A 21,520-nucleotide genomic window follows, 5' to 3' on the forward strand; every position below is an offset into this window, starting at 1 on the left:
AGGAATACAGGTGGCTTTTAGAAGTTGAAAAAGATGAGGAACAGATTCTCCACTCAGCCTCTAAGTGAAATCAGCCCTGTTGACACCTTGACTTTAGCCCAATAAAACTGATTTTAGACTTCCGACCTCCAGAATTGTAAGATAGTAAGTTTATGCTGTTTTAAGCCACTACATTTGTCATGATTTGTTATAGCAGCAATAGAGAACTAATACACTCATTTCCTATATGAGGCAATATGCTGTCATAGACACTACCTTCAATCTGTCCATGGTGGAACCACTGTTTACCATCTCTTCTACTACCACCTGGTCCTAGTCTTCATTATCTCCATTCTGAATGATTTCAATAGTCTTCTACCTGTTTTTATCCACTCTTCTCTATTATTTTGCCTTGTCCACCTAGTCAGCTACTGCTAGGTTTGGCAGCTTTTTAAGAATCAGGAAAAGGTGCCTCTTCCTCCAGACAGACACAATCCCATGCCAGGGTACATGGTGGGGCAGGCAGAGTCCAGATTGAATGTCACCATATGGAATGCAACCTCCATGATTGTGTGTAACATCGCTGCCCATGGTTCTTTCCAACAGCAGTCTGAATAATGCCTTTAAAATACATGTAAGTCAGATTACCTTGCTGCTGTGCTCCAAACACTCATGTCTCCGCATTTTACTCAGTCTTTACAAGGGGACTTCCAGCCCTTTGTCATCTGGCCCTTGTTACCTCTCATATCTCATCTTTACTCTTCTCCCACTCATTCACCACTTATTAAAATCAGCCTTGGTGCTGTTCTTCAAACATGACAGACATGTCCTCACCTCAGGGTCTTTGCTCTTGCTCTTTCTTCAGGCCACAGTGATTTGTCTACAATATCCAAATGGGTGTCTCACCCCCTTCAAGTATTTGGTCAAATGTCCCTTTCTCAGTGACACCTACTCTATTTTGTTAATATTGGCAACCCACACCTCTACCTCCACACTTCCCAATCCCTTTATTTTGCCTCAGTTTCTCCTATAACACATAATCCTCTGACATTTTATATATAAATTATTATATTTGTTATAAGCTCTGAGAAGGTAGGGGTGTTTGATTTATTCACTCCTGTATCATCAAATAATATGTAATATTTAGTACATGCCCAATATTTGAATGAATGAATGAAAAAATTCTTTTTTATCTCAATTTGGGCTTTCCTAGAAGTGGACCCTAACCCAGTGATCCAGGTGCATGTAATTTATTTGGAAGGTGACCCCAGTAAACACTGCTAGGAGAATGGGGAAGCAAGACATGAAGCGAAGGCAGGCTATGAAGAGAGTTTTCAAACCCTCATGCTCAAGCCCACCGGGGGTCCCTGGGAGCCAGTGAAGATTACAAGCCTCAGAGCTGTCGCCCCGAGAGGCTAAAGAGTCTGGATTTTTATCCGACAAGTACTGAGAGGGACATTTATTTTCTGGCCCTGCCTTTCTGCCATGCGCACAGGGCATAACAGACTCCATCCTCCAAAGTCTTCAGTGAAAGAGATCACTGCCAGCAGCAGAAGTCAAGCCAGTTCCCATGGAACTGTGAGGCCCAAAGGCACACGCATGGGACATCAAAAGCATCTGGTATGCTTCCCCGCCAGGAATAAGAGGAAGAACCTCTATGTGCCACATAAGTAAAGTTACGAATAGGGCAACTTGATAATACTATAATGTTCGTGTTGTAACACCCATCTTATCTGTTGGAGGATGAAGATGGGGAGTCGACAGAGGAGATGAGGGCACTTAGTGGCTGTCCTGTGAGACTCAAGAAGGGAACAGCTTCTTTCCAAGAACTGATGAGAAGCCTGAACCAGGACCCAGTAGAAGAAAAGGAACCCCTTGAGTTGCTGTTTGGCTGTTTATAGACAGCGTCCAAGTTGGTCAGTGCCGCTGACAATAGGTACTGCTAAATATTTTGAATATTAACCCTTAGAAGTGGCCTATTCACTAAAACAGACCTGGAATATCAAAGGGTCACCAAAGCACCGAGGAAGCCCTGGGGCAGACATGGGGATCTGGAATGCAATAAGAAGCATCAAAGAGCAGGGAGTAATGGGTTGAGGGGATGAGAGGGCGGGTGGTCTGGGTAAATGCCTAAGATGAGAACAGTTCTCTTTAGATGCTTTTATGTTTTTCCGTAGCATGATGTGTTGATAGATCAGATAGTTTAGGGGGCCTGGGAAAGGGTACATATGTAAGATACCTTATAGGCAGGACAGCCTTACCATGAATTCTCTTTGATCTTTTAATCCACCAGAGTCAGGTGCATTCAGAATCCACAAAGAGAAATCTTCCCTAGTGACTATGATGATGCAAGTTCCATCTACAACAGGTTGCCAAAGATCCCTGCCTATTTCCTATTTAGGAGTTGTGGGTGCCTCAGGGGTCATATTGTACTTTTGTCTGACCCCCCCAAAAGCATCTCTTTGCAATGTAAAGAGAGAGTCAGAATTCTCCCCTTCCCCACCCAATTCTGCCAGAATGTGTTTAGGCCTGATGTTATTTTTCCTCTAAGCCTATCCTCATTTTTCTTAGGTGCTTGGCTGAAAGCATGGGCTAAATTGGATGACTGATAATGACAGTTAATGCTGTGGTAACTGAACATAAAGAAAAGAAGTAAAAAAGAAACAAGTGAGTAATGAGAAACAGATTATTTGAGTCCTGCAATGAGACCTCTAATACAATGGTGGAAGTTAGAGTTGAGGAAGTCCAAGGTGGAAATAATGAACTCCAGGATAAAGCGCTGTCACGAGGCATGCCTTATTGTTCCAGATAAGTTAAAACAGCTTCCAATGGTATAAAACATCACTTTGAATTCTCGTCAAAGCAGGGAAACCATGGTCTCAGGGTGAATGTTCCAATGGCAGCCTGACCAGCGTCACTTCACAACCATGACCACGTCTAAAACTGAAAGATGACTTTAGCCGCTGTTCCCACAAAGTGGTTTCAACACGATGACAGTGTGATGCAGAAAACCTAGAGCTAAAAAACTGAATGTATATTCTCTTTAGAGTAAAAGGAAATGACTACAAGCCTGGTAATAAATGTGGCAGCTTACTAGAAAGGCAGGTTTAAAGAATAAGGAAATTCATGTTAGAGCTTAAATTGAAAACAGGTGCCAAGCCTATTTCATGGATCCATAGAATGTCAGAACTGGAGGAGACCCAGAAGTGACTCATCCAATTCCCACATTTGATGTATCAGGAAACTCAGGTCACAAGAAGTGAAGTGACTTGTTCAATGCCACACACAGTGTCAGATTTATCTCCTAATTTAAAATTTAGTCTTCTTTTCAGACATTTGAATACCTCTGCCAAAAAAATAATAAAAGAAGCCTCTGCTTTTTTAAACAAGATCTATTATAAATTTGAATTCTAAAAAAATGACACCTATCTGACCATTTTCCCTACTACCACATCCTCTAACACCTTACATTTGAACCACATTTTCACCAGTGGTGACACATTTTCCCAGTGTCTTAGGTGGTTCAAAACGCTGGAGCCCTCCCTGAGTGTTTTCTTCACTTGACTCTTTCCGTCTCTCCCTATAGCCAAAGTACCAATATAAGCCTCAACAAATCTACTTTATTGTATCAGTGGTCTTTTACCTATACTTTTTGCTTCCCACATCTTCCTTCCATTATCAACCTTAAACATTGGGAAAATTATCATGTCATTTTCTGATTCCAAAATCTCTAATATTTATTTCATACCCAGAAGGGAAAATCTAATCTCTTCCACTAACAATCTCCATTATGGAATTAAACCCTCCCTTATGCATTAACAAATAGCTGCCATTACTCACCAGTAGGAGACTCTAGCATCTCTCCTCTTTACTTTTTCAGAAATGCACTCCATATACACCTTCTGCACCTGTACACATTCACACCTACCCCAACAGTAATCCTTTTCTATCCATCTTTGTCTGTTTTGTGCTATTCTAACAAAATACCACAGACTAGGAAATTTATAATGAACAGAAATATATCTGCTCATAGTTCTAGAGACTAAAAAGTCAAAGATCAAGGGGCTAGCCACTGGTGAGGGCCTTCTTGTTGCATCATCTCCATGGCAGAAGTGGAAGAGGAAAAAGGGGGAAGAGAGAGAAAGAGAAAGAGGCCAAAGTCATCCTTCCATAAAGAACTCACTCCTGAGATAACCACATTAATCCTTTCATGCAGGTAGAGCCCTTATATCCTAAATCACCTCGTAAAGGTCTCGCCTCCCAACATCACCACATTGGGGATCAAGTTTCCAGCACATGAACTTTAGGGAACACATTCAAACCATATCACTATCCAAATACCACCTATTCTTCAAAGCCTAGGAAAAAAAAAATCAAAAACAAACATTTCTGATTATCGGCTCATGAGTGTTTTCCGTTTCTCTGAATCCCTCAGTATATATTATATTGCTTTAATAGCTTCTTAACTATTCTATATGAATGTCGCACCAGCTTGCACTGCCACAACTTATAACTTAATTGCAACATTTCTTTTGTGTCCTTTTCAACAGCTTCTATACGGAATGCTCAATAAAAGCCTGCCAAATGAATGAATGATGCAATGGAATGCCTGAGGAATTTGGGCTATACATAAAATATTTAAATATATTAATATTAGTCAGTATTCTACTCTTACCTCTTTTATGTAGTGCCAAGAAGGCCATCCTGTAAGAGTGTACTTGCATAAAAATTCATGGAAGTTACTCATCCAGATCCACTACTGCCACCTGTTTTGGAAACTCCCTTTTGTCTCCAAATGGAGCGAAAAGAAGGATGAGATAGTCTCTAAAAACCATGTTTCTGAGCTGATGGCAATTCATTCATTAATTCATTCAGCAGTCCGTCAGTCAATCAGTTGGTCAGTCAAGAAATATTATTTGAGTACGGATTTTACCAGAATATCTTTAGTCTTAAATTTTTATTCCAGTGGGCATTTAATCAAGACTCTGCTTTACAATGACATCCTATTTCTCTTGTAATAATAGCAATAACAATAGTAATAATGCTAACAGTAATTTAAAAACTACTATGTGTTAGACACTGTGCTAAATGCTTTATATGTATTATTTCATTCATTCCTCACAATGACCCCAAGCAGTAGACATTACTATTATCTTCATTTTGCAAATGAGGACATTTATGCCCATCATGGAGTGTCTCTTTATTATATCAGTTTTTTAAAGTGCCCTCTGGTAGCATCTAGCAGCTTAAACTATTGAATACCAAATTAAATAATCTTTTTCCATCCACCGCTACCACCAGATAATCTTCTTTCTCACATATATAACTTCATATTAAAAACAGATATCTTTTTCCTAGGAAATGCTCACTATTGTCTTTCTTATATATTTAATACAGTAGACAGGTTCACACCCTTACACTGTAGAAATTTCATTTCCACTATACCTATACTCTGGAATATTTAGAATATGTTTAACTTTGAAATTTAATGAGCGATGTAGAATTATATTTTTATAAAATTATTTTCTAATAATAAAATTTCATTATAAGTCCTGCTTAAATTTATGCTACAAAAATTATTTATTGTATTATGAACATGTTAATTACCTATACATCCTATAAAAGTGAATGATTAATCAGGGACATTCTACTCTGTACTAGAAAGCACTCAAGGACACCTCTCTCTGTCTCCAGATGGAGTCATTAGGGACTCATGATTGGGTCACTGTAATAGTGAATGAAGCTTTGAGTGTGAAGTGGAAAGAGATTACCCATTTAAAGTTAAACTGGAAATTAAATTCTCACTTATCTGATTTTAGCCACTTTTTTTGTGTACTTTCTTCCTTTCCCAGATGTGAAACTAATTTAGCAGGTTAGGGCCTAAAGGCAATTCTCACAGGTAAGCTGTGTTTCTGAATGCCAAGCAGGAACAAGAGGAAAGACCCACATGGAAGAGTTGAGCCAGCTGCCTGGGCCTGTCTCTAACTTCGATTTTGTGCTAAAGGGTCAAGGAGCTTAAGCATGGTTCTTCTCAGAATGTCACATAGGAGATGATATATCTGGCATCCTTAGTAAGAAGGAATGAATGAGCACCAATAGTGAAGTATGCTTTTGCCTTGGAGTATGTTTTTGCATAAATCATTTAAGAAATTCAATATTGGGATAAGATTAGATAATTAGGGTCCTGGCCCTGTGTTTCAATCCTACCTGGACTGACTAAGTTAGAAGTAACTGACAAATGCTAATAATTTGAATACTTTTTAAAATCAGGGTATTGAAAAGAGTGATGATGTTGCTCTGATTTTCCCTGATGCTGAGAGGTTGCACATTCAATTTGCTATAGTATTACCATTTTGGTGAAGTTCCTTTTAGATTATAGTTCAAAAATTAAAACCATATAATCTTATTCATGAATTCTAAACATTTTATAACTGGCACAACTGTCCTTCTCAATTTCTTTTATTTAGAGTCATTTAACAAGGATATGATCTTCTTTCTCTTGCCTTTTTCACACTTAACACTGAAAGCTTAACCAACTCCATTCAGAACTAAAGAAAGGAACAATGTGGTTTTGTACTTCATAACAGCAATTGCTCTATTTATAAGGAACAGCTTTTCTACGGACTCTTAGGAGAAACATCCATCTCCAGCCCCCATCTCTTCTTGCACTGGCTTTCATAAGATTCATCTCTTCATATTTATTGCCCCACGACAAGGAAGGGAAGGGAAAGCTTTGGTCCCAGTTTTATTTATTTATTTATTTATTTATTTAAATGCGTCCTTGTTTCTAGTGAAAGAAGTAAGTAGGAACTAAGTGGTGGTGAAATAATGTATTCAGGCACATTGCCCAGCCTCTTTCTCCATGCTTTTCATAAAAGGAACCACGTCAAGGAAAAAAGGAAACTTCTGGTCCTAGATCCTCTGAGTGCTGGTTACAAAGAGTCACAAAGGTGGTGATTTAATGCTGGTTTTCCACCCACACAGGGCACAGCCCCACAGCTCCCATCCAAGGAATTAGTGCCAAGCTAATTCATAACCTTAAAAGGGCCAACTGAAGTTTTATAATTTTGTGTCAGTTGAATGAGTTATTTAGCTTCTTCGTTTATCACTCACAGCCAGTCTTGAAATGGTGTTAGCCCTCCTACGGTGTGCACCACAGGAAACTGAGGCAATTAGGGAGATCTTTGTCCTCCAGTAGGGTCTTTCATTCCATACGAATGCAAGGGAAAAAGTTGAATCCATTGTAGTCAATTACAAAACTAAAATGTTCTGTTTCATTATTTAGTTAGTTAATACGTCTCTATGTTGTACAAAGCACCGGTACCTACACTCTGTAGCTCTTAATCATGCTTTCAATTGATTCTGATTCACAGTTGCCCAACCACTTAAATATATGAAATTAATACATTGTCATTGCTAACTATAATTTGGGAGGGAAAAACCATTAATACAAGGGGTTCTTCAGAATAGACACAATAAAATGTAATGAAAATGTTGGGACTCATTATTTGGAGTTAATTACTTGCAAAGATGCTTTTTGTTTAAAACCGAGTTTGCACTGTGTACTTACATGAGGATGGAGTGGTGTAACACGGAAAGTTTACACAACGTTTATTAAATAACAAGAAACGGTGTATATACATAATGTATTTATTTACCTATTCATATAACATTTAAAAAATATATATTTTTTGTTTGCTTTACAATTTTCAACTGATTTTACTTAATTTTTACAACTTGACAATATAATTCTAAAATTTACATTGAAAAACAAAAGGACTAAAAAGGCCATAAACTAAATATTGAAAAAGGAGAACAAAGATGAAAGACTTACATAGATTTCAAGAACTGCTATAGCTACAGTATTCAAGACAGTGTGTTTTTTCTTTACAAAAATATATATTGAGTGAGTCCTATATAACTTCAAATGTAACATTAAAACATTTTTTTGAAGTCCAAATACCTTTTGTATAGTTTTTATAGATATGCCACTGTTGAACACAATTGTCATCAATAATACACTTTCCCTACTGAAACCACTGGTGTAATGACTTAACTTTGAAATACCCCAGCAGAGATAAGGCAACCCAGTGGGGAAGCATATATCATGGTGGTTCAAAGCACTAACAATGGAGTCAGGCTTGTCTTCAGAACCTGCTTTGCCACTTACCAATATTGAAGAATCCTAGGCAAAATACCTGTTTAATCTATAAAAAGAGCTAACATTACTATCCCTTACATTGTTATAAGGGTTAAATTAGATTAGAGTGCTTAGCAGAGTGGCCAGCAAATAGCAAACACTCAATAAATCTTCACTCATTTTATTAATAATAACATACTTCTCAGTCTTCCAAATGGTGATTCAGGTTAGTAAAGAAGGAAATGCTTTTTAAGAGAAAATAGAAAGAAGCAGACAATCTCTTTTGAGGGACTCCCACGGCATATTGATGTTTTTTAAATAAAAATTGTTGCTTGCTTGTATGGTTCCACAAAAGGTGTCATGGTGAAAAAAAGCAAAAGCAGAAGAATGGAATTGTCATCCACAACCAAAACAATTTTCCTTGGGATAACTTAACAAGATAGTAAAGAAAAGTCAGAGAGAGTGAGTAAAGAGACACAGAAGTCTGAAAGTCACATCTGAGAGAGACCCATCACATTTAACAGTGACAAATATTAACTAAGGTGAGAGGAGTCCGAAGAAATAATAAACCTTCCAGCCATGACAGATGACAGTGTTATACCAGAAAACTTGTAAGACAACAAAGGAAGACATAACTGTAAATCACTCACATCAACACGATTCACAATAATTTTTGGAAGTATTCACAAGTGTGGCATATTCTTTTAGCAACTTAGTCCTAAGTATTTTCGAAATACTTGATTTTCACATAATAGCAGGGAAAAGCATAAACTATACAAGAATGCTAATATACTCCTCAAAGAACTGAGAACTATCACGAATATAACTTTGCTGCCTTCAACTTTCCGTCACCAGTTACTATAGACTAAGTGCATATTCACATCTATATTCCAATTACTGAAAAAATAGGAAAGGGTACAGAATTCAAATGTATAAAGAAATAAAAAATATCCAGGTTAGTACAATTGAATGTCAAAACAACTATTTCCCTTAATAAACTTATGATGAGAAAGCATTCAATTGGTTGCATGCTCACTAATTTGATAAATATGTGAGATTAACTAAATCATCCAGTTTCTCACTTGCTTTTTTTGGGTCATAGTCTAGCCATGCAATGGAAAAATGCAACCAAGTCAGAATAAGAGAAGGGTAGTGGGTCCCATGTGGGTGGAACTGGACCTGTTGGATACTAAGCTGAGGTGAAGAGGTAGCTTGGAATATTGAATCCAATAATCCTGAGTTCTAATGTCAGATATTACATAAACTTTTGTGTCTTTGGAAGAGTCAACTTCTCTTTCAGGGCCAACATCTTCTGATATGCAAAGTTGGGAAGTCAAAGTAGATAATTCAGGTTTCCTCCAACCCTACCATTCTGTGATTTCAACTGTTCCTTTTGTTGCCTATGTTATTCCTTTTGCTGCATCTTTCATTACTACCATCATTTCTCTACGAACATGAGGATAGAGAAAAAGGTTTGGTTGGGAAAGGGACATGGGGTGTTTTTATGGTCTGAAAGTTTCTTTTCTTTCCTAATTCATATGTTGAAACTTAATCACCAGTGTGATGGTACTTGGAGGTGGGGCCTTTGGGAAGTGATTAGACCATGAATTCAGAATGTTCATAAATGGGACTAGTAACCTCATAAAAGAGGTCCCAGTGAGCTGCCTCCCCACTTCTACCACACGAAGACACAACTAGTAGGCATCATCTTTGAACCAGAAAGCAGGCCCTCACTAGACACCAAATCTTCTGGAACCTTGATCTTCAACTTAACCTCTAGAACTGTGAGAAATAAATGTCTGATGTTTATAAGCTACTCAGTTTATGGTAGTTTGTTATATAGCACACCAAATGGACTAAGACAGATGTTATAAAAAATAACTCTGGATAAAGGATGTATGCAAAATAAAAGCCAATTTGTTGAATAATCACTGCCTTAGAAGTTGTGGTCGCTCTTTTGTCATCTTAGACGTGTTCAGCACTTATATAAATAACTATTAATGCAGTTGCTTGAAAATGTAATAGATCAATGCATAATCATGTATCTGATGGCTTAATGGTAGCTATAACTAAGGTGATCAAAGTTCCCTAATGTGTAAATTGAAAACATTGGACAGGCTTCATGTATCCTCCAAGATTTATTTCTGCTGAAAGTTACATGTTTCTTTTGCAAAGCCTCACGCCATAAATTAATTACCTTTTCCACTGTCACTAAAGTTTTATCTCACCCTTACAGCCTTTTTCTTGGCTGGAGTGGTTACTGAAATAATTTTATAAATTACTTCTTATTCTTAAATGAAGTAGAAGATGGAGGTATTTGCAGCATGGCTCTAAGTCGCAAATGAGTCAGCATTCTGCTATGATTCATCTTTACTTCTATCTGCTGGCTGAAAACTATCACTTCTTTAGGCTTCTCTATGTTTTCTCAATAAACAAACTCTTGTTTTTCTTTTCAGGGCCACTTTTTTATTAAAAAATAATTTATTATTAATTTATGAAACAATCTACATGTCAAGCAGAAAACAATAAAGCTATAAATTTTTGTTTGTGCTACATATACTGGCCCAATCCATGATGCGTGCTCACTTACAGACTAGTTACTTACAGCTGATGCAAGCCTCACAGATTACAAAATTCATTTCTCATACTTTCTTTACATTTTTTTGACTGCTCACTAAACATCAAGCACTGCACTATGCATTTTATTTTGCGTTTTATTAACTTAATCCTCATAATAACTTTATGAGTTAGGTGTTATTATTAACTCATTTTACAGATGAGAAAACAGGCTTAAAAGGTTGACTAATTAGTTCAAGTTCACTCTTCACTGGTAACAAAGCCAAGACATGACTTCAATTTCAACTCCAAAGCCTTCCTTAAATATAACCTTTAGCAAAATTAGGGATTACTACATGCCATGAACCTTGCGAATCACTTTCAAGTTGCTGATATTGCAAATTTGCATTCACAGATATCAAAAAGCGCAGTTCACTGTTCTTCATGTTGGAAGAGATGATACAGATGTTGATAAATATGTAGCTGGACCCGAAAGCAACAATATGTGAAAAAGTGTTCTGCATACTACAAAACCAAAGGATATTGGTGTCTATTAAGTAAATGCAACAGTTTATTTATCCCCTTGATGAATTATAGACTATAATGTGGCTGAACTTTTCTATTAATCACAAATAATAAACACGCTTTTAAAAATTTTTCGTCATAGTTTCTCATTGTTTTTTTTGACTACCATCAAGATCATCCCACCAAAAAACTGTTTCCTCTTTGGCGTCATCATGCTTGCCCAACTTTTAATACCTTTCATTTGAATTGTGGCTTTGAATAAAGTATCTACTGTGTCATGTCATCTTAATCTTTGACAAAGAATAAAAACCCACAATTATTAATGCTGTAACTTTAACGCAGGCTTCTAATTTTGGTACCTGGTGGTAGCATTTTTTTTGTTTAGAAAAATATTTTTTCTTTTGTAGAAAAGAATAAAAACTGTAAAAGGTATTGAGTTAACATTTCTTAATATATAAAAAACAGTCCCATTTTAACATTCCTCCTCTACCCTTTATTGCTAGCCTTGGAAAGCAAGGTGGGGAGGGGCATATTCAGGTCTTAACCTCCCTAGCATTTGAGGGCAATTAACAGGTGGATAAGAAATTTATTTTTCTTAGTACAGTTATATGTCTGGAATTTATTTAGTGGTTTTAAGTGAGACTAGAAAACAGGATTGCAAATAGGGTGGGAAAAATAAGCCAGAAAAACCAAGATAATTTCCAGTTGAATTATGACCTCAACTGGGTTCTGGAGAATGGAATTTTCATAATTCACAATCTTATATTGGCTACTTCTGGAGACATGGGGCTGAGGGCAATATCCTTTGTAGAATCCCTGTTCTATTTCCTGCGCTGTTTGTCTGTAGCCTGTATTCCTGCTTCACTAATTGATTGTTTTTTATATGCTAGCTTCCTAAAAGGAATTAAGGTGGCTTCCATTACTAAGGAAAGAAATACTTGTACCATGACACTAGCCTAAGAATAATTAAGGCAGTTAAGCAGAAATGTAAATTTTCACCTTCCCAGCTGTCACTGAAAACATGTTTACCCATGTAGTGAAAATAACTAAGAGTAAAAATTTAAACAAACTCTGGAAGAGCAATTGCTAAAAGAAAACAGAGTCAGACCATAGAAAGTCTGATGCAAACAAGAGGAACAGTGACAATACATAGTTGCTACTCCAAACCAACAGAGGAAAGAATTATGCTACAAGAAAAAAGAAAGGATTCCAATAAGAGATAAGTTAACACAACTGGAAATGAATGCTCTCTATGAATAAGCCCTCCCTGAAAATGTTTCTGGATGCAATATTCATTCCTGGCACAGGAAGTAACCAAATGTCACCCAAATGATCTGGAAATTAATGTCACCTCCTAGTATATTCTTTATTTTCAAGGAAACAATATACCCTCAGATTTATTCTGCCTAGAAAATCCACTTCAGAAAATGAGACAAGGGAGTAAAAGGTAAATATGCACAAGCAGCTTCACTGCCTAGGTCTGACTGAGTCAGGGTGGATTGCAGATAGAAAGAGCAAGAAGTGCCACTTTGCACATTTTCTGTCTTTTCTGTCTGCTTGATGCTGCTGCCAGTTAATGTTAGAGGAGCAGGACTCCCGTTTGGAGCTGCTTCCCTTGGACTTTGGTGGGTCCACCCCTCACAAGCACAGCTGGCAGGCACTGTTTGGCATTGGTCTTCATAGAGCAGCCCATCAAACCTGTTTGCAAATTCCACCAGGGGACAGAGTGGCTTTTCAAACTGTCAACTCCCTTGGCTTTGAGCTCTAACACTCCGTCTGCAACATCATTCTCTGCTAAGTGGAAGACATGCAGACAGGATGACATGTCCCAACACAGGTCTGGTGTCCCAGAACTGCTCTGATGGCATGCTATTTCCGCACAATGAGAACACATGGGCCTTTGTGCAGTGTGCATCTGGAAAACTTCCCAGAGCATGCATCTGCCCTCTGATTTACACCTTGCAGAATAAGGCTGACCGGTGGGAAAGCGACCGAATCTATAAGCAGTGGGTGGGCTGTGTTCCCTCCCCCTACCCCTACCTCCTTCTTATTCTGAGAAACAATCGTGGGTGTTCCTATCTCCCCAAAACTCCCTGCCCTGAAAAAGAAAGGGAAAAAGCTGCTTCCTGGCTGAATAAAGCTGAAACACCTGTGTGCCAGAAATACACAGATGTAGACGGGCACAGCATTGGTGCAGATCCATCTGCCCAGCGTGCTTCACTTGGTGGTTAGAGTGGTATCCAATTAGGATGGGAAACCCACACCAGAAGAAAGATTCCTTTGGTCCTCATTATCCTCATTCCCTTACAATTCTTCTCACATTTCTCTCTCTCACTAATGCTTTACCCGAGGATGAATATACAATGCCAAAAACAACCCTTGCTTAAAAAGCCCTGAAAGGCAATTCTATTTCAGGTGGTATCTTCCCTTCATCATTATTCATCCTGCCTTTTTACTTTGGGCTAGAAGGACAAATGGAAAGAAAAACAATACAATAGTCAGTGCAAACTGAACCTTTGTCAGAAAATGTGTGTCTTTTATGTTACAGCTGTGAACTGCTCATGTGAAATGTGTGCTGAGTGTCATTCATTCCAAAAATATTTATTAAATACTAACATGCCTGGTTTTGTGTTAAGTCCTGGAGGTATGGCACCTGGCAAAATGGCCTCACCAGAACTCACTGATGAATGCAGTAAAAAATACCTGCATCGTGTATTGCAAAAACAATGTAACATTTAATATCATTGCCGTTTTTATTCTCCTGCTTTTATCTATAGCATTATTTATTTTTCTCTCATATAGGGCAATTTCCACAGAGAACATATTGAGTCTAAATTGCTCAGTACAGTGTCTATCATGGTGCAGGCAACAAGCAGCTGGTCTGGGAGAATAAGATATTCAGAGTTGGATGCTTTCATAGCCGTTTAAGCTGTGGGTATTACCCAAATGAACTTTCTATACAGCTTTGGAAAATGGACTGGAGTATGGAAGTATCTGGGTGTGGGGAAGAGACAGAAGTTATTCATCAGGATCTCAAATAGATCGATTTTTGGACAACAATTGTCTGTTAGGGTTTTTTTTTTATCCTTTTAATTTTGAGATAATATTAGGCTCATAGGAGTGTTGCTAGATAGTACAGAGAGTTCCTGTAGGCCTTTCACTCTGCTTCTCCTAATATTAACATCATATATAACCACGGTACATTGATCTAAACTAAGAAATTAACATTGATACAATACTATTAACTAAATGACACACTGTATTAAAATTTCAGTAGTTTTTCCACTAATGTCCTCTTTCCATCCTAAGATCTAATCCAGGAGGTCACATGGAATTTAGGTTTTGCTTGGTGTTAATTGAGCTATTTCTCTACTCTCGATGTCCTATTGATATGATATCACCATTTTTGAAAAGAAGTTCTCACCTTCGAATCTGTAAAATGCTAGAAAGGAGATAGGAAAGAAGGTAAAGTGGGAAACAATGGGAAAATTTTCTTTTATTTTTTAATTTTCAATCTACCTGCAGGGAGAACAGCATGACTTAGGAACATGGTTTTTCTGACCCTCCCTATCTTTTTAGCCCTGAGAAAATAAAAGATCAAGTACTCTCTTTAGAAGATAACCTTGTAAATCTCTAACGGCTCAACAGCCATTTAGTCTGATGCAGCCCTGGATTGCTATTTCCATTTCACAGATGGGGAAAATGAAGCCCTGCCCTGCTGAATGATTGTTTAGGATCACAAAGCCCTGACTTACCTATAATAAAACTAAGACTAAGACTTACAAGGGGAATGGGGGAATCCAGCTCAGCCCTGAAGTCTCTCTCAGTGGTTAACCCTTATTATAAGAAATGGCATTTATTTGTCAGGATATAAGAACAATGTTTTTACAAGGAAAAGTTTGGAGCAATAACCGAAAATAAAGTCCCTTAGTACATCTGGGGGAATGGGGAAGCATTCTATATTACTCTAGCAATGAACTCTGGCTACTGCTGAGCTAAACTCTAAGTTGCAATTAGTTTAAGCTGCAAACATCAAGCACCAAAGGAATGCTGGGCTTTCATAGGTGCAATGTTTTCAAGCCAGTGACTTTATACTATGGAGGCATATTCTGAAAAGGCTGGCAGCATTCTAGACCCAGGAACCTGAGCTACAGACATCAAAGGGATTCACTTCTTAATTCTGGACATTTGTAAAGTCCACCAGAAGCAAACATGCTGGAACTTCAACAGCAGGTATTACACTGACTGTAAAAATCATCCATCTTAGTCAAAATTACAAACAGGTCTCCTTGTCTCCCTCCTCCCCACTCCATCCATCCCTTTCCCTCACGGTAAAAGAATCAACATGAAGCAAAATGTGTTCATTCCTCTGTACCAGTAACGATGCTGCCAGGGAGGGGGACTACTCCCTGGATCAAAGAGGCCTCTCTCACAGGGCAGTGTGTGGTGAAGGAACATTACTCCACAGCCCCTCTCATTCCCTTTCCCTCTCTCTTGCTTTTTCTTTCTTTCAACATTAGGCATTCTTTTATAGTTTCAAATTAACATTAAAGTACAATAACAGTGATTCATGGCTGTGATAAACAAAAAAATAGGGATACCTTCACAATAAAACTCTGTAAAATGCACAAACTGACACGTTTTAAATGACTCTTTAGTAACAGGGGAGAAAAAAAGCATATGAGGTAAATCCTTCACTGAGTAACTCACCAGGGAGACTGGTAAAAATAAATTGCACAGCTCTAATTTTCCTAGCAGCTTCCATGCTATTCTTTGAAACTGAGTACGAACCCCTTGGCCTAATCCCAAGAGCCGATCTATAGTAAATAGTGCACACTTAAGCCTAAGTTCCTTTTTAGCACCATTCAGACAGTGACTTCAGCCGCAGAGCTTAGTCATAGCAGACATTTTTGTGGTGAAAGCATTAAACCCACATGCAGCTCTCTTTCTGTGGCCACTGGGGGTCATGCTCCCTTCCCATTAGCTGAATAAATCATAAAGTCGGCTCAGACCACCCAAGGAGTGCGACCAGCAAGCCACAGGCGATGCCTACAGCCGGTTATTTCTTTTCAGAATCTACAGGGGGAAAAAAGCAGAAAAAGAAAAACAAGAAAAAAAAATACACTGCAAAACAGACTGCCTGTAGGAAATCATTTGAGTTTTTAAAAATGTGATCTCTTTGAGAGTAACCCAGTGTTTTCTTGTTTACTTATTTATTTTTTAGTTAAAATCAGGGAGCCTGATTTAAGAAGAAAAGTAGCCATTGAAAAAATAAAGTCACATGCATGCCTTTTGTCATATGCTGGAGTTTGCTGACCAAAAAAAGAAAAAAAAAATCTTCTCTGTGGATTTTAAATTAAGGAAGGCCACCCTGTGTGGCCAGGCTCTTCAGGTGGTTCCGATAAGACACAATGCAGATGCAACTGGGGGGCCCTGCATCCGGCTAGCTTACGTAGCCAAACGGGATTTAACGAGGAAGCAAACGTGTTGTCTAATGTTCCCTGTGTCAAATGATTCACTCCGCCCAGGAAAGGGATGGGGTCCTGGAGGAAGATCTGCAAGTCACAAGTTCCCATCAATCAGTAAATAAGATAAGAAATAGGAATTTTAAACATAACTATTAGCAGGCAACTGCTATCACATCCACACACTGCAGCTCATTATGTTAAATAGTCTCTTCGGGGAGTGTAGTGCGGGGGAGAGGAGCAGAAGGGGGCAGAGTGGTGAGAAAGAAGAATTTTTTTTTACATGCATTTTTAAAAACTGTGCTTTATTTTAGATAAGTCTGTAGATGTGCTGTAATTTTAAATAACTGTAGAAGTCTAACAGGCAACTAAAATTGTGACACCCCCTCACAACCCCATAACTATTACCCTACCTCCAAGTAAAGTCTAGCCAGAAAGAAAGTATATTTGAGGTGGGTTCCAGTGATTTCCTCAGGACTCTGGGACAGGTAGCTGTTAGGATCTTGAAGGAATTTGAAGCTGAGTGGTGATCCCTTTTGTGTCCATGAACAGTCTCCCTAGTGTGTATTTGATAAACTTCAGTATGTGATCTTGTAAACTGGTTATTTAGGAAGCACTCAAATTAACACACTATATTTACCCTTTGTTTAACTTCAGAACAATGTAGGCAATTTCTTTACCAGTGTCCACACAAAGCTCTGCCTAAAATCTTTAAAGCCCTCATCTGCAGTGACCCCCTTGCTGCTCAAGAAAGGACAGCCCCTCGGTCTACACTGGGGCATATTACATGGTGATTTTGAGACTCTTGCCCACCAGGGAGGAGGGCCGGTTCACTTATATCAGTTACATTTGTGACTTAATATGGTGAGTTGTAAGGTCACCCTCAATCAAAGCCATCTTGTATTGAAGCAATTTTAACTGTCAACAGCCTATGTCTTAAAAATCTCACGAGAAGACAAGTGAATCCACCTGTTGATAACCTACAGCCCATTATGAATTTGCTAATTAAAATTTCCATTTGCTAGATTACACAACTTTAACTGTGTAATAAAAAGCTGCTTCCAAGGTAAACCAAAAGCATTGTAAACAAAACCCCTCAACCACGAGGTTTCACTCATCCTTGTGATGACTTTCATTTCTGTTTTATTCATGAATATATTTTCCACATCATTGAGAGCATAAAGCATTCTTAAGTAGATGCTTTGAACCATCCTTCCTGAGTCAGAGTGCTTGGAAGAATTAGACCAACTGCTGCATCGTGTCTAGCTGCTTATCTGTGATCCACCCCACTTCTGGAAATAGGGACATGTCCCCTATGGACACAACATAGATAAAATGGCCTGTGCCTGCATTTATGGGGTCTGTGTTGCAGAAGAAAGTAAACAATTCCAAAGAAAATAGTCCAGAAGAAATAGAAATGCTACTAAAAACAGATGAGATTTAAGAAATAAATGCCTTTCTTTATGAATAAGCATCAGTAGCTTGTGAGGTTAGCTCTTAGGCTGTGTGATTTGCAACTTTCCTTTGGTCAGCCTCTGCCAGAATTGATTTTCTTTAGTGTTGTTGAAAGTGTGTGTGCACATACTAAGGGACATGAGTATAAACTATACCATTTGGATGCACACAGATTGGGAATTTTTACTCTTATAGGAAATAAGGTAAAAAAAAAGAAGTCAGATGTTGGAACTTTGAGTTACGAAGATTAAGATAGTAGGATTGAAAGGGATTACTTTACTTTGTAAACAATACTGTTTTAAAAACAACTTACTCCAGCTCAACCTGACTACATTTCCCAAGATAGGATGAGGGGAGCATTACTCTCTCTCTGTTCTCCAATTAGATTCCATTCTCTTCAGTGCTCTCTGCCCAGGTGTCTCCTTCCATTTTTCCTTTGCCATCTCGCTGAAGTTTATCTGTCCTCTCTCAGCAGGGTTGAACTCTGTCTTGAGATAAGCAGCTACTCTAATATTAGTTATAGACGACATGAAGACTCTAGGTTCACCATAAAATCATTCTTTCCTAGACTAAAGCCTAAAATTAATGAGCATTATACATTCTTTTTTTTGAGATGGAGTCTCACTCTGTTGCCCAGGCTGGAGTTCAGTGGCGCGATCTTGACTCATTGCGACCTCTGCCTCCCAGGTTCAGGGTTCAAGTGATTCTCCTGCCTCAGCCTCTGGAGTAGCTGGGATTACAGGCACAGACCACCACGCCTGGCTAATTTTTGTATTTTTAGTAGAGACGGGGTTTCGCCACATTGTCTAGGGTGGTCTAGAACTCCTGACCTCAAGTGATCCACCCCTCTTGGCCTCCCAAAGTGCTGGGATTACATGTGTGAGCCACCGCGCCTTGCCAGCCATACTTTCTTAACTTGAATTACTATCCCTCATCCCATCACTCCCCAAAGCATTTATCAGGTAACTGTTTTTGGTCCACACATAATTTCTCCTTATATTGAGAACCTACTAGGTGCCTGGTACTGTCAGAGGTAGCAGGCATAATATTTAAAACAAAACAAAACAAAACAAAAAAGCAGCGACCTTTGAAGTTTTGAATCCCAGTTCAACACCTACCAGCTGTGTAACCTTGGATGAGATTCTTAACCTTTTAGTGACTCAGTTGTCTTATCTATAAATGAGTAATAATGGTACCTCAATATATATTAGCTATTACTATGTATTAGAGGCAGAAGGATGACAAAGACTGAGGACATGTTCCTTGCTTTTGTGAGGCTTATTGTCTTGTGAGGAAGCTAGCACATAAAGAAATATTATCTACATGGTATGCTAAATTCCAGGGCTGTTGTTGGCTTATATGATGGTATGCAGCAGTCCCAGTAAAGGCTGTGATAACACAGTAGATAGGAAGCTATCCAAACTGGAGCATTCCTGTAAGTGAAACAAAATTTTTGCTTTACTGCAGGTTCAGAACATAAATACACGATATTTCAGCTGGTTCACTGAACTTAGAAAATTATCATGTGTCCCTTAATTATGAGCCGCTTCCATGTGAATGATTAGTGTGCTTTTCTTTCCTCTTTTCTGTTTCCTTCTCAGCACTATAGAGCCATGGCTTCTTAGTATCTTCACATCTCCTAACCACATTTCTGATTCTCTCTGGCTTCTATTTTGGGCCTGGACACTCAAGGTTGGGAAGCAAACAGCCAAGTCCGGTAGGCAGCATCTCAGCAGACTTCTCATCTTCTCATGACTTCCACATTCTTCCTCAGTTGCTCCTCATCCCAGCCCTACAGCCTGTAACCAAACTCCAGGAAACCCCCTGCATAGCATGCCTGGTGAGCGCTCTAAGATGATCATTACTATCTAAACATTTCCTCCTTCCTGAACCCTGGGAATCTTTTTTGTTTGTTTCTTATTTCTTTCTATAAAACCTCAAAAACATGTATAGAATATGGAAGAAACTGTCGCCTTGTGTTCTGTTTCAGAATGACTGGAGAGGAGGGGAAGCCCTACTCTGAGAAGTAGGTGATGTGCATTGATGGTGCAGAAGATGAATCACATGAACCCTACCTCTGAGGAGGATATGATCCATAAGGCAAGACACACACAAACATATCCCATGACAATGTGATGCAAGATACAAAGCATTTATATACACAATACAGAAAAAAAATAGAGGCTGTTAGGCAGGCTACAGATCCAGAAAAATGAAGGGATAAATGAAGGAATGAGATGTGAGAAAATGTTCACAAGTAACAGGGGAGAAATAGGTGGTAAATAGGGAAAATGACCCTAAACCCATGAATAGAGGAAAGGAGGTAGTTGTGGAAGTGAGGCTATAGATGTGTGTCTAGGTAGGGGAAGGTGTGTCATTGAGTAGATTCTACTCAATGGCCTTGCTTGTGTTGGAAACAAAGCCATCTGTGGATTGTGGGGGAGGGAATAGATGATTACAAAGGTTTGGAATATTAACTGAGAGGAATTAGGGAGCTGACCAAAAAGGAGCAGAGAGACGTATAAGTGGCATAAAAACTCTGAAAGAGTTGGGAAGGCAAGAGATTGAAATGATGGCAATCATCGTGGCTGTGTGATTTCCCTCAATAGCACTGAAGTACAAAGGAAAAAAAGAGTAGAAAAGGAAGATTTGAATTCGATCCAGATTTGTGGTTCAAAGATGTCATAGATATTGGTACAAGAGCAATTTATGTGATTGACTGGGAGGTTTAGACCAGCCAAACACTCTTTATTGCTGGTAGGATAAAGTTCAACATCCTTAAACACTGGTGGCCCTATAGCCCACGTGATTTAACCTGCTTCAGCTCTATCAGTCTTCTTTCTTCAGCACAGCTCCTGTGCCCCAGACTCATTTGGGTATTTTCAGTTCATCTGCTCTCCTTGGAAGTGCAAATATCTCATGCCTCAGAGCTTTTGAATATGCTTGTCCTTCTGTGAGAATACCCTTCTTCACATTCTGCTTGGCTGGCTCCTCATTATTTAGCTTCTACATAAATTTGGAAACTATCTCAGAGACAAGCTTCTCAGAGAAAGATTCTTAGGCCCCTGGCGTGGTAAGCTCCCCCTGCACCTACACTCCATTTTCTAATATTCATCACACTTGTAATTACTCGCCCACTACCTTTCTCCCTGAGATATTCCAGGTTCTTTGAGCATGTTTCTCATTTTGACTGCTACATCTTGTGTCTTTCACATACTCTGCTCACAGTAGATGCTCAGTGAACATTTGCTGAGAGAATGAGTAGATAAGTTGATCATCCTGAAAGGCACTGGAAGGATATAAAGCAGGAAATCGGGGCATGAGTCTGGGCAGATGCATATGCCAGAGATTTAGATTTCAGAGTTGGGGAAGCTTTTCACAATGGCATCAGTCAAGATGT

At 38.7% G+C, this 21,520-nt stretch overlaps 1 long non-coding RNA gene across 2 annotated transcripts in view, besides 2 other annotated features; it reads right to left on the minus strand.

Annotated features, from left to right (window-relative positions):
- Positions 1-21,520, minus strand: part of LOC105377462 (uncharacterized) — a 360,687-nt gene that overhangs the window by 138,977 nt on the left and 200,190 nt on the right. The window lies entirely within an intron of this gene.
- Positions 15,224-17,130: an enhancer, noted in NCBI's record as "VISTA enhancer hs906". NCBI's record gives its function as "enhancer in: hindbrain (rhombencephalon)[7/7] | midbrain (mesencephalon)[7/7] | limb[6/7] | genital tubercle[7/7]" and the evidence as "EXISTENCE:transgenic organism evidence [ECO:0001131][PMID:17130149]".
- Positions 16,007-16,076: a silencer, noted in NCBI's record as "silent region_15721". NCBI's record gives its function as "represses an Ori minimal core promoter by ATAC-STARR-seq in GM12878 lymphoblastoid cells {active_cell/tissue: GM12878}" and the evidence as "EXISTENCE:reporter gene assay evidence [ECO:0000049][PMID:35858748]".

The sequence above is a fragment of the Homo sapiens genome, chromosome 4 (genome assembly GCF_000001405.40).
Source record: "Homo sapiens chromosome 4, GRCh38.p14 Primary Assembly".
NCBI classification, from domain to species: domain Eukaryota; kingdom Metazoa; phylum Chordata; class Mammalia; order Primates; family Hominidae; genus Homo; species Homo sapiens.